Source organism: Homo sapiens, chromosome 2 (assembly GCF_000001405.40).
Source record: "Homo sapiens chromosome 2, GRCh38.p14 Primary Assembly".
In the NCBI taxonomy this organism is placed as follows: domain Eukaryota; kingdom Metazoa; phylum Chordata; class Mammalia; order Primates; family Hominidae; genus Homo; species Homo sapiens.
The window spans coordinates 75,492,085-75,510,794 of record NC_000002.12 but is presented as its reverse complement, the minus strand read 5'-3'; the positions used below and the strand labels follow the sequence as shown (position 1 = coordinate 75,510,794).

Here is an 18,710-nt window from a genome sequence, read left to right as displayed (position 1 = left end):
TTTATTGATCTTTTTCTTAATACTCTTTCTAGGCACTTTTCCTATATTAGTCCTTTGTGTCTGTTACATATTACAGATATTTTTCTTAATTTATCACTTGTCTTTTGACTTTGCTTATAGTAATATTTTTCAGAGCAGGAGTTTTGGGTGATTATTTTTCCCTGTTTAACCAATATTCATTGAATGTGTAACTGCAAGTACAGTTATGCTGTTTAGTATTTAACCAGAATTCGAATCATGTTTCCCATGACATTGGTATGAGGGAGGCAGTCTCTCAACAGTGAGGGAGCCTCACCCCCCACAACTTAATTGATGATAGTCACGAATTTGGGCATTTGAGAAGGTATTGTAGTTCTGGGTTTTCTCATTACCCTTTATACTGTGAATCCTGTGAGGGCCAAGGGCCTTTGTGTCCTTAGCCTTTAAGCTATGCCCAAGGCATTGGAGACTTGCAGTAAATGTTTATAGAATGAATATAAGTAACCATGTATTAATATATATAATTTGTAAATTTTTTAATATTTAACTTTTTATTGATGTATAACATGCATACAGAAACATATGCACAAAACATTTATGGAAAGCTTGATGAATTATTACAAAATAAATACACTTGTGTAACCAAGAAATAGAATCACACTTGCTCATGCCCCTGATAATCACATTCTCCTTCTCCTTCCAAAGGAAACCAAGATCTTAAGAACTAAGTATAGATCAACTCTGTCATTTCATAGAAGTGTTTTATTACAGAACATTAAAAACATATACAAAATACCAAAAAGTATAATAGACCTGTCACCCAGCTTTAACATCTACTAGTCATATGCTGTTTTTGTTTAATCTATATTTCAAACCATTTCCCACCCCCCACTTCATTAGGTTTTTGATTATTTTTTAGATAAAATGCATACACATTGAAAGGTACAATCTTAATTGTACCTTTTTGACAAATCAGTATACGTAAACTTCCCCTCTTTTAAGAATTGAATTACCCCCCTTAACAATCATTAATATGCATAGAGATTACCTCAAAGTATTATTTAAGATCCAGATTTTTGTAAAATAGGTGTGAGTTTTGACTGAGAATTTGTATTTCTAACAAAGTACAGATCCGCAGAGCACATGGTAACTACAGTGTTTCTTTTATCTACAGTAAATACAATTTGATGAATAAAATTAAGGAAATTTGACCTAGGGTGAAAGAACGGATCAAAACAACTGTACAATATGCTATCTATAGGAGCATTTGGTTAACAATAACATAAACTAACCAAACAATTTTATTATTTTAATAACCAAAATTAGCAACAATCTTACTATTGTTTTCATAGAAGTGCTCCCTCAAAATAAAAAATTTTAATAACATGAGAGGGTATTGGTTAACTGGTTAACTGGTTAACAGCAAATATTTGAAAGTAAATGTCTGATAAAATTAAGTAGCGGGTATCTTTTCAAGCCCATCAATAATCTTACATAGTTACCCAAAATTCAGTCATTTACACAGCAAGTGCAGATAATTTTCATAGCTTCCTATTAAAATTATATTTTAATGCCCTTATACATTTTAACTCAGTTTTCTTATAAAATTCACCAACTTAAATTTTTATAGGACATATGATAAGTTCCCCTTAAATTCAAGGTAAATTTACTGAATTTTATTAGGCAGTGTCTGTGTGTCCACCACCCAGTATTATTTGGGTTCCTCGATTTGCACAGGCATCACAGCTAGGGAAACAGGAATTCACAAGACACGACACAGGCTCTCCTCTGCATCTCTTTCCTCCTCAGGGCATCAGTTCATCAATCAATCAAGTCATGTGAGAGTAGAGGTTATATATTTTGTGGCACAGAGGGTATCATTCCTCCCCTCAGAGGAGGAAAAGACCAGAAGGTCTATCTGGGAACCCGCCCCGATAGTCACGTAGGTTCTTTTCTATTTTCCCTAAGCGTCCGCCAGCTTGAGAAATAAAGGGACAGAGTACAAAAGAGAGAAATTTTAAAGCTGGGCATCCGGGGGAGACATCACATGTCGGTAGGTTCTGTGATGCCCCCCAAGCCACAAAACCAGCAAGTTTTTATTAGGGATTTTTAAAAGGGGAGGGAGTGTGCAAATAGGTGTGGGTCACAGACATCAAGTACTTTACAAGGTAATAGAATATCACAAGGCAAGCGGAGGCAGGGCGAGATCACAGGACCACAGGACTGGGGCGAAATTAAAATTGCTAATGAAGTTTCGGGTACCATTGTCATTGATAACATCTTATCAGGAGACAGGGTTTTGAGAGCAACCGGTCTGACCAAAAATTTATTAGGCAGGAATTTTCCTTTTCCTAATAAGCCTGGGAGTGCTATAGGAGACTGGGGTCTATTTCACCCCTACAGGCCGTTTATAGACCCATACCCCCAGGCATGTATTCTCTTTCCCAGGGATGTTCCTTGCTGAGAAAAAGAATTCAGCGATATTTCTCCCATTTGCTTTTGAAAGAAGAGAAATATGGCTCTGTTCTGCCCGGCTCACCGGCAGTCAGAGTTTCAGGTTATCTCTCTTATTCCCTGAACAATTGCTGTTATCCTGTTCTTTTTTCAAGGTGCCCAGATTTCATATTGCTCAAACACACATGCTGTACAATTTGTGCAGTTAATGCAATTATTACAGGGTCCTGAGGTGACATACATCCTCCTCAGCTGACAGGATTGAGATAAAAGTAAAGACAGGCATAGGAAATCACAAGGGTATTGATTGGGGAAGTGATAAGTGTCCATGAAATCTTCACAATTTATGTTTAGAGATTGCAGTAAAGAGAGGCATAAGAAATTATAAAATTATTAATTTGGGGAACTAATAAATGTCCATGAAATCTTCACAATTCATGTTCTTCTGCCATGGCTTCAGCTGGTCCTTCCGTTTAGGGTCCCTGACTTCCCGCAACAAAGGTCCTCTTAGGGAACACTTACTGGGAGGGCTGAGCCCCCTGAGGTGTGAGGCTCTGATCAGCAGGTATAGACTTTTCAGGAGGGAGGGATGAGGCAGCCATTCTGAACCTGCAGCTCTACTGTCTCCTGTCCCATCTCAAGACAATTCTGAAGGGCCGTTTTGGGCTGTCTGGATGGTGGAGATTGAGGAACAGTTTGGGCTTTGATGTGGCTCAGATGAGGTGTGTCATAGAGGGCCCCTATACTCAGTATCTGGGCTGGTGCCTTTGAGGTCAGTAGGTTGCCTCTTTGTATCCAAGTCCATTTTCACTAGGGAGGAGGCTGGAGAGTCTAAATGGCTTCCAGAGGCCCCCTCTGATTATCTCTGGAAGATGGGCACTGAAAGGGGCAAAGTCATTATCTTTGGAAATTCTAGAAATTCTACTTGGAAACCTGGGAAGACCTCTTGCCTGGGGCCTGAATACTCAATTTGCAGTCCTAGCCACATAGATGGTTGGTAGGCATAGAGCTGGGTTTGCATTTATATCAGCACAACCTTGCATCAGGTTTGAAGAAGTGGCCAGGACTAGTGTCTTGGTTACAGGCTGGAGAACATCATGAAAGCAAACTTCAGGCCTGTTGACTTTCATCTTGGCAATGATTGTTGGGTCCTAGGCAAAGTGCTGGAATGCAGCATGAGTCTAATCCATAGATCCACCTCCACACGTCAGTTATCCATAAGGTAAGAGGGAGCCCAGTTTATGTCTTGATGGGAGGCTCTGCCAGGTAGAAGAATCACATCTCAGGTTTCTTGACAGCTGGCTGACTTGTTGAACACAGATCCAGGACAGATCTACTTTTGGATGTGTGGACAGGCATTAGCCTTTCAGTTTTGCTGATGCTTCAACTTGAAGTCTCCTAGGAAACTCCTGTGGTAGGTTCTTCCTCTGCAGTTCTTGCCTTGCCTTTGCCTTTGTTCTTTCTGTGAGTCTTGGTAAACGGCTATGGAGTCTGGAGTTGCTGGGGCTTCCTCAGTCCCAGGTTCTACTTTTCCTTCTTATTTGGCCCAAGGGTTGTGAGGCAGGGCCCCACCCCAGCACTTCACTGGGCACCTTCTGGTCCTGGCCATGTGTCCTAAGACTTGATAGTTCTTACACATTCTCTTGGAAATGAATTAAATTTGTTTCTTCCAAATCTCACAGTAAAATTGCTGCTCCAGAAAGATGTATCATGGATATTCTGCTTTTGTGCATCCTCCCTGCATAGAATTGAGGCTGTGCCTACTCTGGTTTCAGAAGCATGCAGCAGAGTACATAAAGTTAATCTGCAAAAGGTTTCAGACACTCATCAGGGAGCTTCCTGCATGGGCTGAGAAATGCCAAGACCCCACGCCTCCAGTACCACCCCTAAGGAGGGGCTCACAATTTGTAACATTTTTAAACAGTTGGAATATCCTCCACTAGAGAGGGTTTGGTGAAAGTAGTACTTTTGTACACAGATGATAGCAAGATAAATTAGTGTAACACTTTTCAAAACCCACTTGGCAATGTGTATCAAGAGCTATAATAGTATGTATCCTGTTTGACACAGAGATTCCTTTCCTGAGAATCCATTGCAAGGCAATAAACAACAAGCAAAAAAGGAAGTAGCATTAAGCACAAAAATATTTCTTGTATTACTATTTTTCAAAAATATTTCCTCATAACAACCTAAATATCCAAAGGCAGGAAGGAGTTTTTGTAAACTGTGGCACTTTCACTGGGAAGAATACTATGTAGCCATTATTAGGCATGATGGAGGGAGACCATGGAGCAATATTGAACAGTGTTATATGCTGTGTACATGTGAAGTGTACATGTACAGTATATGCAGAGGAAAAGATATGAATTATATATACATGTCTATATATACTCTGACTATAAGCAGGTAAATGTGAATAAGTATGTGCATGTTTATATGATAGAGAAAGAACAAAGGAATATTCACTATACTACACACTGTATAGTTATATTCAGGTTGTGAAATTATGGTGATTTTATAATTAAAAAAATTCCCTACCCTTTTTTTTTTCTGAGACAGAGTCTCTGTCTTCCAGGCTGGAGTGCATTGGCACGATCTCGGCTCACTGCAACCTCTGCCTTCCAGGTTCAAGTGACTCTTCTGCCTCAGCCTCCCGAGTAGCTGGGATTACAGACGTGCACCACCATGCCCAGCTAAATTTTTTTGTATTTTTAGTAGAGACAGGGTTTCACCATATTGGCCAGGCTGGTATTGAACTCCTGACCTTGTGATTCACCTGCCTCAGCCTCCCAAAATTTCCCTACTCTTTTAATGTTATACTGGCACATATTTATACGCATACCCACATACGTACACATACATATGTATTTACATATAACAAATTTATTAGCTGAACTTTTGGAAATGGTGTCTTCATAATTTAGTTCAATGAATATTGTGAGATATGCACCATGAGGCAACACACTGTGCTGAATGCCCAGAGAATCGAAAGTGAATCAATCATATGGATTCTGCCTTCAGATTCCTCACTGTCACGTGGGAAAGATAATGGTTATATAACTAATTATAGCGCAACCACATAAAGTGCTGCCCAGACTGGAGGGGCTAATTAATCACACCCTTCTTCCAAACTCAAGGACCCAGAAAAGCATTCGAATTTTGAAGTTGACCTCATCAGTGTCAATTTCAGCAGTGGTAATGCTGGATGGAATAATGTGTCAGGGCCTTCTGCCTAGTCCGTTGAGTTCTAGGGCAGCTATGGGATTGTAGGTCTTTCCCTTGCAGGGGAAGAAAAGTGAGCCAGTGGATTGGGAGGAGGGGCAGGGCAATGGATGCTTCCTTGTGGGTTGCCTATTGCCTGTGGAAGGGGATGAAATGAGTGAATTCTTTCTTTTTTTATTTTACTCTAAGTTCTGGGATACGTGTGCAGAACATGCAGGTTTGTTACATAGGTATACATGTGCCATGGTGGTTTTCTGCACCTAGCAACCTGTTATCTAGGTTTCAAGCCCCGCATGCATTAGGTATTTGTTCTAATGCTCTTCCTCCCCTTGCCCCCCACCCCCCGACAAGCCCTGTGTGCCCCTCCCTGTGTCCATGTGTTCTCATTGTTCCACTCCCACTTATGAGTGAGAACACGTGGTGTTTGGTTTTCTGTTCCTGTGTTAGTTTGCTGAGAATGATGGCTTCCAGCTTCATCTATGTCCCTGCGAAGGACATGAACTGAAATGAGTGAATTTAAAGGAGCACACATCAGAGCCAGCCAGGTAGGAACAGAGATTTCTCAATACTCCTTCCTGGAGAAGAACAAGTCAGAGATGGAAGGAAAAGGAAGGAAGCTTCCTCCAGCATTTTAGAGAGGGCAGTAATGTTAGTGGAGGTCTTCCCTTTCCAATGGGGTGGGGCAGAATGCCATAAAGATATTTTGTTTGTTTGTTTGTTTGTTTGTTTGAGGCAGAGTCTTACCCTGTTGCCCAGGCTGGAGTGCAATGGTGCGATCTCATCTCACTGCAACCTCTGCCTCCTGGGTTCAAACGATTCTCCTGCCCCAGCCTCCCTAGTAGCTGGGATTACAGGCACCCACCACCACGCCCAGCTAATTTTTATATTTTTAGTAGAGACAGGGTTTCACCATGTTGGCCAGGCTGGTCTCAAACTCCTGACCTCATGATCTGCCCACCTCGACCTCCCAAAGTGCTTGGATTTACAGGCATGAGCCACCGTGCCTGGCAAGAGATGTTCTTACAGTGCCTAAAGAGTTTGGAGAAGAGATTTTGCTGAGCACTCCCTGACAACACACAAACCCCGTGATTCTCTTTAATGCCCACTTTTTAAAATTTTATTATTTTGGGGGGTTAAGATAGTTTTTTATTAATGAAAATTTATGGAGCACACGTGAAATTTTGTTACATGTATATAATGTGTAGTGATCAAGTCAGGGCATTTAGGGTGTCTGTTGCCCAAGTACAATACATTTTTATTAACTATAGTCACCCTGCTCTGTTATCAAACATTGAATTTATTTCTTCTATCTAACTGTATATTTGTACCGTGTATCCCGCTTCTCTTCATCCTCCCTCCTACCCTCCACTCACCTTTCCCAGCCTGTTATCTGTCTTTCCAGTTTCCATCTGCATATGATCAAACTTTTTAGCTCTCACATTTAAATGAAAACATGCAATATTTGTCAAAACCAATTTTAAAAGCCTTTTACTTTTCACTTAAGGAATTGGAAGCTCCAGAGCCAAGAAGAAAGCCCAGGCAGAGAGAAGGTTGCACTTGCATGGAGACCAGCTGGCCTGGTCTGGGCTGGCTGCTGCTGCCCTATCCTGCAAGGAGTCTGTTGGGCATGATCTGACCTCTGAGGGTGCAAATGAAATTAGCTTCAGGACCTCTACATAGGGCCTCTTCCTGCCCGTGAAAACAATGACCCTGCAGGAAACAAGATACAGCAATACATTTATTTTTATTTATTAAGGGAAAACAACTGACAATAGCCCTCCCCACTCTGCTTCCTGGGTAATTAACAGCTGTCTGGATCTGGTCAAGACCAGGGTGGATCACTGGCCAAGAGGAAGTGACCTGGAGCAGAAAGTATTATAGGAGAGAAAAAACAATCACCTTGGAGCTCCAGTTTTGAATTTTGTGGGAAAAGGATGAAGAGGCATGACATAAATTGTATCAGCTGTGAAAATCAGGCCTGAGTCACCAGCTTGGGATCCAGTGAATTCCCTTACCCAGTCTGGTTGCTCTTACTGGGCTTGTCCAGGAATCCACATCCGGATGCTAGAGACAAAAGGGGATGTTTTCTGATCTGGGAGGCAGGACAAGGTGGACTCATTAAGCTACAGAGGCAGAACAGTGGTTTCCAAGATGGAGTTCAGAAACTATCTTTGAAGTTAGGCCTATGTAATAGGTGGGGTGAGGGCAGTATATGAAAGCTAGAATGACTTGTTTTTCTCCCTTTAATATCGTTTTCTATTTTGGTCAAAGCATGAACTTTTGAGTATCAGGCAGAATTACATTTGACACCCTCATCTTGGCTTCCACTTTTAAACAAGAGTAACACTACTTACCCTGCTGAACAGTGGTAATGGCTGACGGTATTACAGATGATCAGCATAAAGGAATTATTCCAGATCTTGGCAAAGAGAAGCATTCAGTGAATGATAGCTCTTTCACTCACTCTATGTATGTATGTATCTATCATCTATCTAATGTCTTCCTCCCTCTTTCCCTCTTTTCCTTCTTGCCTTCCTTCCTGTTCTCATCCCTCCCTTTGTTCCCCATGAGTGCATATCTATGTCTCTTTGTGCATGCATGTATGCAATATGTATATCTGTATATACCCTAATATTTTTAAGCATTCTTAGATTGCAGAATAGGTAAAAGGGTGCATGTAGAGATGCCACTTGTCAAGGGCCTGGGAAGTAGAAGGAGTATAGCTCAAGCTCTGCTATGTCTGTTCAGCATTTGTAGGTTTTGACTTTTATTTCACTGGATTATGTGGCCATTGTTATTATGTTAGAAACCTTCATGGTCTGAAAACCCTTGTAGGGAACATAGGAGTCTCTAAGAAATGGAGATAGATTTATGGAGCTCCAGATTCATACTCCAGGGAGGACAGGGTTATGTTTGCTGCCTTAGTGGATACATAAGCTATCTAGAGGCTTTAAAAGACAGCCTATCCCAAATTTATTTCTAACCTACTAACATGGATTGGTTAAATTAAGTTCTTTTAATGCTACACACTTCTACTAACACAAGAGAGGTTGAGTTATTGCATGAGTTGGGCAATAAAGCAAGTGTAACTGATGTACTGTTTCTCTGTCGTGTCATCTTTCTCTCACTCTGGGATCCAGACAGATTTTCTCTTGGTTGGGGAATTGTCTTCCTTGGGTTGAGGGGACTGAGGGAAGATGCAGTATTGGTATCTCCTTCTGAATCATGGCTCCTTCTGAACCTAGGCAGGTTCTCTTCAAGGCTTCATGGTGTAGGAGACAGAGGACAAGACTTTGGTCTGAAGGATCATCCTCAGAAAATGGATGTACAGTGCCAATCACGGGAGCTCGCCTGCTGATTCCCACTTACTCTGCCTACAGGGTCCTTTCCTCTATCCATGAGAGCAGAGCCAGCTTCCCATTATGCGGCTCCTTCAAGGGCATTATAGCAGAAGTGGGCCAGTCCCTCTCTTTGGCTCATTTCATTCTAGCTCAGAAAAGCTGTGGCATAACTATAATTGGCTCAATTTCTTTTGCTTGATTAAGGAGGCAAAGCCAAAGTAAGGCCAGAAATCAAAACCTTTTTTGTTGCCAGGGCATACTAAGCAGTACAAACTCATTTCTAATTTATATACTCAAAGCCATACCTCCTAAACCAAAGTGTGTGAAGGATTACTTTAAATTCTTCTTTTCCTAAGGGGAGAATTTCCACAATATGTAGAATTTTTATTTCATACTCATAATAAAGTGATCTTTAATAGAACTCTAAGAAAATTCCTTTAGAATGTTTCATACTAACAAAAGAAGGAATTAAACATTTGCGAAGTTCAAGGCATGTCACTTGAGCACTACATCAATGTAAGAAAGACTCAGTTTTATTGAAGGTTAATTATCTATTGGAAAAAATTCACTAAGGGGCCCACACTCTGGCATTCCAGCAGAGGAGTCAGGGATGAACATGAAGAGGAGGGTGTGTTTGTGGGTCAAGAGTGGACAATGAAGTCTTTGGCTTGTCTGGACTAAAGGCTCCTGTGGAAGAGTTTGGGGGGATATGATTGAAAGGGAGATTGGAACCAGATTTCTGACAGCCTTGAGTGCCCTCTTTTTTTTTTTTTTGTAAAAGTAATAAGGTAAATAATAGGAGTCAGATCTTAAAATGTTGCCTTGACAGCCATGTGCAAAATTAATTGAAGGTGGAAGGAAGTGGAATCCAGAGTTAGAAAGCTGCAGGTGCGGGGAAATGGCAGTGAGTGGGAAAGAGATGGAAGGGACATGAGAATGGCTGAGATTAATTAATTTATGGCAAGAAGCCAAAGAGTGAGTCAAAAAATGACTCTGGGCATTGGGCATAATGACTGAAGGGAGCCTCAGGCAGAAAGGGGAAGGTTGAAAAGGGGAGGGAGGGAGGGAGGAAGGGAGAGAGGGAAAGAAAGGGATAGAGAGAGAGGTAAGAGAGAGAACTTGCTGTTTGAGATAAAAGAGAATGAGATCGATGTGAGGTACATTCTGTATGAAGTTGGAAGGTACATGGGAGTTTTTAAACATAAAAATTAAAATTTACAGGAAATGTATCTCTTAAAGAGATGGATGAATTTCCTCCTTTCCCCTCAATTTGTTTATGTATTTAGGTACTCATGAATAAATATCACTTATTGCCAGAAGGAGGCATGATTCAGTGACAGTTCTATTTCTGATTTTTATTTGTATAGCTACGGGTGTTGGGAAACTTTGTTCACATAAACATGTAGACAAAAACAAAAGAAGTTTTGTTATAATTAAGTCACTCCAGTCTTTGAATTAAGTTTTCATCGTATGCCAAAAATCAGAGTGATCCGTCATCAAAAGTTATTTTGATTTATCAGCTGACAACATGATTAGGCCTTCCTTCAGTTTTGTTGAAAACCAAGAATTGGAAACTTACTTGGAAAAGAATGTGTTACCAGTTATTAGGGGCTTTTGCCTCCTGTCATTGACATCAATTTTTCAATATTTGGAACAGTTATTTTGCTTGGTGGCCATTTTTGCACTCCGGGCAGTGCACCATAGTAAGATGGGATGTGGGGTGGGGGAAGGGTTTGACTTTAGCGAAATGGGGGAAGCAATGGGTGGTGTAGAACAGGTAAGACTGTGCCTTCCACCACAGGCACCTTCTCAGGCGGATCCAATATAGGAAAGAACAAAGAAAATGGCTGTGTAAGGTCTAGAAATAGATTTCCTTAAAACCAGCTATGCCTGTTCACCTCTTAGGCACATGTTCCCACTGTGAAGACTGCTTATCTCGAGTACGGCCGAGCAGTGAGATGAAACTCAGGCCCTTTTAGACCAACAGGGACTTAGGCATAGTCAGTGGACTGATGAGTCTGTGGGCAGAGGCAGCAACCTGGGCTCCCTGACCAGCCGTCACCCTGAGTAGAATGACCTTATTCCTTCCTGATGCAACTAGTGGCAGAAAATCAATTCTGTTAGCAATTGGGAGCAGATTTCTGAAGCAGAGTCAAGTCTCTTTCAGAGGAAAAGGGCTCCTAGGGAACTCTGGACAAAGTAGACAGGTCCAAGACCTGACCCTTGGGAGATATTTTATCTTGATAAACAGCAGAACCCATTTCTCCAGCAAATGGGCTTCATTTTGCTTTATCCCAGTGATTTTGACTTTTTTATTATCACTAGAACTAGGTTTTGTGAAGACCATTCTGGACTGACCCTTTATGGCTTTTTGGTTTTCCATTTCCTGTGCCCACTGACTTTTCTCCAATTCTGCACTCTCTGAGATTGCCCCAGTGGTGCCTCATGCCCACTTCCATTATTTCACTCGGTTGTGCTCAATTCCAATTATGTTTATTGCATGTCCTTTTCTCCTATCAGTCTTGAAGGTCCAGTGAGGTTGTGATTGGCTCAAGGTCATTTAACTAATAAATGAGAGTGCCTTCCTCCCACTTTACAAAAGAAAGGCAATTATTGGATTTAACCCAATCCAGGGAGGCCAAGTCCAGGGCTTTTATTTGCCCCAAGACATGTTCTCTCTATCTGAGGGCTTAAGAATTTTCTAAGTTGATCTAGAATCTAGATAAGACTCAGGCCCATTCCAGCCTGTCATCAGATAGCATGTTTTTATACACATTGTGCATGTTAATTATAATCAGGCAGACATGAGCAAATCACAAATAAATGCAGATTGGTGTGGAGTTCATGGGCTGTTCTGGTCATTATTTCCTCTGGGAAAATATAAATCTAAAGATAAAGGTGAGGCCTTTGATGTGATCCCATAGCATCTGGCGTAGGAATATGCTATTTGTAAGCAAATGAGTCTGAGAAGACCATCTTTTTAAAAAAAAAAAAAAAGGTGTGTGTGGTGCAAATTTAAATGTATTAAGTCACTCAGTAGTGCTACAACTAGAGATGTACAGATACATTGACAACATGTAGTTCACTTTTAAAAGTGAACAGCATCTCAATCTAATGGTGAGACATTAAGCTAATTGTTAAATAATATCTAAAACAGATCTTTTCCTGAAACAGTGTTGCTAGATTTAAAAAAATTAATACACATTATATACAGCTGTTTTGAATCAACATAAAAATTGAAGAGGTAGTGCAGAAGGTTCTCATATCCCTCCCTTATTAGTTTTTTGTTTCTGTTTTTTGGGGTTTTTTTTACTTTTATTTTAGTTTTGGGGGTACCCGTGCAGTTTTGTTACATGGGTAAATTGCATGTCACTGAGGTTTGGTGTACGAATGATCCCATCACTTAGGTGGTGAGCGTAGTACCTGATAGGTAGTTTTCCAACCCATTCCCCCACCCCACCCTCCCCCTCTAATAGTCCCTAATGTCTATTGTTCCCTTCTTTATGTCCACGTTTACCCAGCTTTTAGCTCCCACTTATAAGTGACAACATGCAGTATTTGATTTTCTATTCCTGTGTGAATTTGCTTAAGATAATGGCCTTCAGCTGCATCCATGTTGCTGCAAAAGACATGATTTTATTCCTTTTATGGCTGCTTAGTATTCCATGGTGCATATGTACCACATTTCCTTTATCCAATCCTCTCTTGATGGGCACCTAGGTTGATTCCATGTTTTTGCTATTGTGAATAGTGCTAGTGCTACAGTAAACATACAAGTACAGGTATCTTTTTTGTAGAAAGATTTATTTTCCTTTAGATATACACCCAGTAGTGGGATTGCTGGGTCAAATCATAGTTCTTTTTTAAGTTCTTTGAGAAATCTCCATGCTGCTTTCCACAGGGGCTGAACTAATTTATATTCCACTTTTTTTTTTTTTTTTTTTTTTTGAGACAGGATCTCACTTTGTCACCCAGACTGGAGTACAGTGGTACAATCTCAGCTCACTGTAGCCTCTACTTCCCTGGCTCAAGCGATCCTCCTGCCTCAGCCCCAGAAGTAGCTGGGACTACAGGTGTGCACCAGCATGCCTGATTAATTTTTGTGTTTTTTTAATGATGGGTTTTCCACCATGTTGCCCAGGCTTGTCTCAAGCTTCCTGAACTCAAGTGATCTGCCTGCCTCAGCCTCCCAAAGTGTTGAGATTATAAGTGTGAGCTACCATGCCCAGCCTGGTGTTCCCTTTTATGCACAACTTTGTCAACATGGTATTTTTTTACTTTTAATAATGGCCATTCTGACTGGCGCGAGATGGTATCTCGTCGTGGTTTTGATTTTGATCATGATTTCTCTGACGATTAGTGATGCTGAGCATTTTTTCACATATTTGTTGGCTGAATGTATGTCTTCTTTGCAAAGTGTCTTTTCATGTCCTGTGCTCATTTGTAATAGAGTTATTTTTTGCTTACTCAATTTTTTTAAAATAGATTCTAGATATTAGGACTTTGTCAGATGCATAATTTAGGAATATTTTCTCCCATTCTGTAGGTTGTCTGTTTACTCTGTTGATAGTTTATTTTGCTGTGAAGAGGCTCTTTAGTTTAATTAGATCCTACTTGTCCATTTTTCTTTTTGTCACAATTGCATTTGGAGACTTGGTCATAAATTCTTTGCCAAAGCCAGTGTCCAGAATGGTATTTCCTAGGTTTTCTTCTAGGGATTTTATAGTTTTAGGTCTTACACTTAAGTCTTTAATCCCTCTTGAGTTAATTTTTGTATAAGGTAAAAAGAAGGAGTCCAGGTTCAATCTTCTGCATATAGCTAGCCAGTTATCCTAGAATCATTTATTAAATAGAGAATCTTTTCCCCTTTGCTGTTATTGTTGACTTTGTCAAAGATCAGATGGCTATAGGTGTGCAGCTTTATTTCTGGGTTCTTTATCCTGTTCCATTGGTCTATGTGTTGGTTTTTGTACCACTACCATACTGTTTGCTTACTGTAGCCTTATAATATAACTTGAAGTTGGGTAATGTGATGCCTCTGGCTTTTCTTTTCTTCCCACCTTAGGATTGCTTTGGCTATTTGAACGCTCTTTTGGTTCCATATGAGTTTTAGAATCATTTTTTTTTCTAATTCTGTGAAAAATGATGTTGGTACTTTGATAGGAATAGCATTGAATCTGTAAATTGCTTTGGGCAGTATGGCCATTTTAACAATGTTGATTCTTCCAATCCATGAGCATGGAGTATTTTTCTATTTGTTTGTGACATTTCTAATTTCTTTCAGCAGTGTTTTGTAATTCTTGTTGTAGAGATCCTTCACCTCCTTGGGTAGCTATTTTTTAGGTATTTTATTATTTTTGTGGCAATTGTAAATGAAATTACCTTTTGATTTGGCTCTCAGCTTGGACATTGTTGGTGCATAGAAATCCTACTGATTTTTGTATTGATTTTGCATCCTGAAACTTTACTGAAGTCAATTATCTGTTTGAGGAGCCTTTTGGCAGAGTTTTTAGGGTTTTCTGGGTATAGAATCATATTGTCTGCGAAAAGTGATAGTTTGACTTCCTCTCTTGCTATGTGGATGCCTTTTGTTTTTTTTCTCTTGCCTAATTGCTCTAGCTAGATCTTACAAGACCACCTTTTGTTTACCCAGAAAGGAACGTTTACCAAGCACTTTCACTTGCATTATCTACACTGATCCTCCCAACAGCCTTGTGTAATATATGACACCTCAGCATTGACACTGATGCTGTAGAAGCACCAGGAAATGATGAGAAGGGAATAGGCTTTGAAACTGGATAGACTTGGGTTTGTTTGCCTGGGCCTTTCTACCTTGTCATGTGGCCTAGGGATGTAACAGTACCTCTTTTTGCTTCTGCCTTTTATTTCATAAAAGACAACCAACAAAGGAGGAAAGGAGGAGAAGAAAAAGAAGTAAGTGGGCTATTTTAAAGATTGAGGCTGATGATGTAATGGATTTCATGAAATTTTAGGAACATATTTGGACAATATTTTTTAATTTTCTTTTTATTTCAATAGTTTTGGGGGTACAGGTGGTTTGTGGTTACATGGATAAGTTCTTCAGTGGTGATTTCTGAGATTTTAGTGTACCCATCACCAGAGCAGTGTACACTCTACCCAATGTATAGTCAGAGAAATTAATTTGGATGACAACATCAAGATTATAAAAAATTTTAACAATCTGAAACCAGGGTGAGACAAAATGAAGTTTTTGTATTTGAATTGAAAAGAATCCTAATAAGTAGCACACAGAAATAGAAAACACAACTTAATGCCATTACCTTTGTGAGCGTGACCTGGAACAAGCCACTAGACCAGCATGTAGGTTAGTGTTGACTTGCCATATAAGGGAGAACACTGTGGTCTTCAGTAGGCTTGAATTTACCTAATCGTCCTAGCATTTGGTCGAAGTGTCTCCATCTCATCCTCATGCTCACAAAATGCCCCATGACTCCCTCTCTCCTAGGGCTGGTTGCCCCCACAATGTGCTTCCATCATTAACAGCCCATTGTTTTATTTTCTGTCCATTGCTTTCGTCTGTCTCCCCAGTAGACTAGGTGCATTCTGAGAACAAGAACTGAATCTTATTTAAGTCTTTGAATTTCCAGAACCTACAAAAATTGTCCAAATATACACAAAGGCATAAGAATGATATAATAGACTGTGGGGACTCAGGGGAAATTGGTGGGAGGGGGGTGAGGGATAAAAGACCATACATTGGGTACGGTGTACTCAAGGCCAGGCCTGTTCCTTTGTCCTCGTAGGTACCTAGAATGAAAACTGTTCACTCAAAGACTCCCATTCTGTTAAGCACATCTTACAGGGGTCACAACTAGGCCCCCTAAGCATACTGATCATTAACAGAATGACTGTTATCTTCTCTCACCAAGGAAAGAGCTCTAATTTCTCCTCCCCTTTCAGTTAACCTGCTGAGGCCACTCCTAAATACCTATACTGGCTTTCAATGTGTGACTGATTGCAACTATTGCTTTTTACAAAACTACCCCAAAACTTAGTGGCTGAAAACACACATTTATTATCTCCCAGTTTCTACAGGTCAGAAATCTGGGTGTGGCTTAGCTGGGTTCCTTGGTTCAAGGTTTCTCACAGGCCACTGCAAGGCCAGGACTGTGGTCCCCTCAAGACTAGATGGAGGGATGATTCACAACCAAGCTCATTCACATGGCTGTTGGCACCATTCCTCAAAGGGTGTTGGCCAAAGGCCACCCTTAGTTCCTTGCCACTTGGACTTCCCCATAAGGCAGCTCACACATGGCAGCTGGCTTCATCAGAACCAGCAAGTAAGAAGAGCCCCAGAGAAGGAGAGAGTAAGAGAACAAGACAAAATCACAGTCTTATGTAACCTAATCTTAGAATCACCCATTGCTTTTGCCATATCCTACAGTCGTCCCTCGGTATACGCAGGGCATTGGTTCCAGCATCCCTGTGTTTACCCCAGTCCGTGCATGCATACTTAAGTTCTGCAGATGACCCTGCAGAAGCCACATATTTGAAAAGCTGACACTCCTTATATGTGGATTTCTCATCTCGCAAATAATGTATTTTCGATCTACATGTTTGTTTGAACAAAATCCATGTATAGGTGTCCTGTGCTGTTCAAACCCATGTTGTCCAAGGGTCAACTGTATTTCTTAGAAGTCACTAGGTCCACCACTTGAGGGGAGAGGATTGCACAAGCGTGTGAATACTAGGAGATGGGGTTCATCTCAGAAGCTGTCTACCACTGTGATGAAAGGGTAATTCAGTGGGGGTGTATGAGCAAATTCTCAAGTAAAGCTGTTTTGGCCTAGGTGAAAAGAGGCTTTAGATAGATACATCTCTTAAACAAATGACACCTAAGCACGGCTGCTTGCGTACAGTAGGTGCTAAATAATTACTGTTTTTCTTTCTTTTACCTTTTCATTTGGGAATAATCTCTAAGTTAAAGTTGCAAGAAGAGTGAAAGAATTTCATATACCTTTCACAGATTCACCGTTTGTCAATAATTATATTTTGAATACATTATAAAATATGTCACATTGGAGGACAATATTTGTAACCATCAAAACTTTGGGGCCTGGTGAGAAGTGTAGGCTGGAGTCATATTGGATCTCTGCATATGGAGTTGTCATCTCTCAAATGCTTGCTTCTTCCTCTTCTTCCTCCAGAAAATCCTGAGCGAGCAGCTCTGTACTTTGTTTCTGGCGTGTGCATCGGGCTGGTGCTGACCCTGGCTGCTCTGGTGATAAGGATCTCTTGCCACACAGACTGCAGGCGGCGTCCCGGGAAGAAGTTCCTGCAGGACAGAGAGAGCAGCAGCGACAGCAGCGACAGCGAGGATGGCAGTGAGGACACCGTGTCCGATCTCTCCGTGCGGAGACACCGCCGCTTCGAGAGGACTTTGAACAAGAATGTGTTCACCTCTGCGGAGGAGCTGGAGCGCGCCCAGCGGCTGGAGGAGCGCGAGCGCATCATCAGGGAGATCTGGATGAATGGCCAGCCTGAGGTGCCCGGGACCAGGAGCCTGAATCGCTACTATTAGGGAGCAGCAGGACCCCGGAAACCACTGGAGGCCGCCTGGAAAGGAGAGCGTCTGCAGGGACAGTGGGCACAAGGAACTGAACCCAGCTCTGCTAATATTGTGATTTCAGAGAAAAAGCAGGACATGCCCCTTTTCTAGCCAGGAGGATTGCTCCTTTTTGGCCAAATGTATGGAGAAGTAGAAAAATCAAAGCAGTTCATCACCCTTTCCAGGTCTCGGAATGGTGCTGAAAAATCCTCTCCAACACTGTGGATGGAGATCGGAGAAACGCGACTGTGGTTTCTCTTGATTTCTGAGGATCTCAGAAGTTTCAGCAGACTTCCTTGCTCTGTGTTATTCCTTTGCAAAAGGAAAGATCATTATAGCATGAGGGCTGGGAATAGCAGGGTGAACTTAACCCAATAAATGCAATTTCCTAAATGACTTCATGCTATGGAGGTGATTCTGATTCAAATAGCATGATCCATGCTTATTATTTAAGGCTGATTTTTAAAATCTTGTGTTGCAAGGGCAACCTCGTCCATTTTAACTGGCACCTCAGGGATTAAAATCCTACTTTTTAGTGTAGTTCCCACCTCATTCATGAAAATGAATAGAACTATTGTATTATGGGAGATGTGTCAGTGAACTAGAAAATGTCAATAACCTCAAAGGATGAAGGGTTTTTATTTTAAATAGTTTATAAAATATATATTGACATGCATATTTGAAAATGCTGCATAAAAATAAAAGTGGTGTGTTTTCCCCCTCTTTGGAGACAAGAAAATTTTATTATGACTCTAGATAATTGTGATTTTAAACACTTTGTTTTTTTTTTTTTTTTTAATTGGATTTCAAAGAAAAGAATGGAAATGAGAGGTAAGGATTAAAGCCAAAGTTAGGATGGGAATTAAAAAAATAAACATTACATAAAATCTTTTTGGTTGCATGTCCGTCTCTGTGGTTACCCTTACCTTAAATGACAACCCTTTTATATACGTGGGTATGGGCTTTTGCCAGGCCCCTCAAGGATTAGAGTGGGGAGATGGTTCCCGTGTGATAATGGGCTTTTCACTTTCTGTAGGTTATATGTATGATTGCTATAGTTGAGTTGTTAAGCAGATAGAGGAATAGAAGACTTCCCTAAAGCTAGAAATAAGATGGTAGCCCTT

General features: G+C 40.8%; 1 protein-coding gene across 4 annotated transcripts in view; it reads left to right on the top strand.

The window, feature by feature from the left end:
- Positions 1–18,477, top strand: part of EVA1A (eva-1 homolog A, regulator of programmed cell death) — a 77,402-nt gene extending 58,925 nt beyond the window's left edge. For all 4 annotated transcript variants that reach the window (NM_032181.3, NM_001369524.1, NM_001135032.2 and 1 more), the window contains one exon: positions 17,186–18,477. In NM_032181.3, the coding sequence (NP_115557.1) occupies positions 17,186–17,559 (374 nt within the window). In that variant the 3' untranslated portion in view covers positions 17,560–18,477. The remainder of the gene's footprint in view (positions 1–17,185) is intronic.
- Positions 18,478–18,710: the final 233 nt, after the last annotated feature.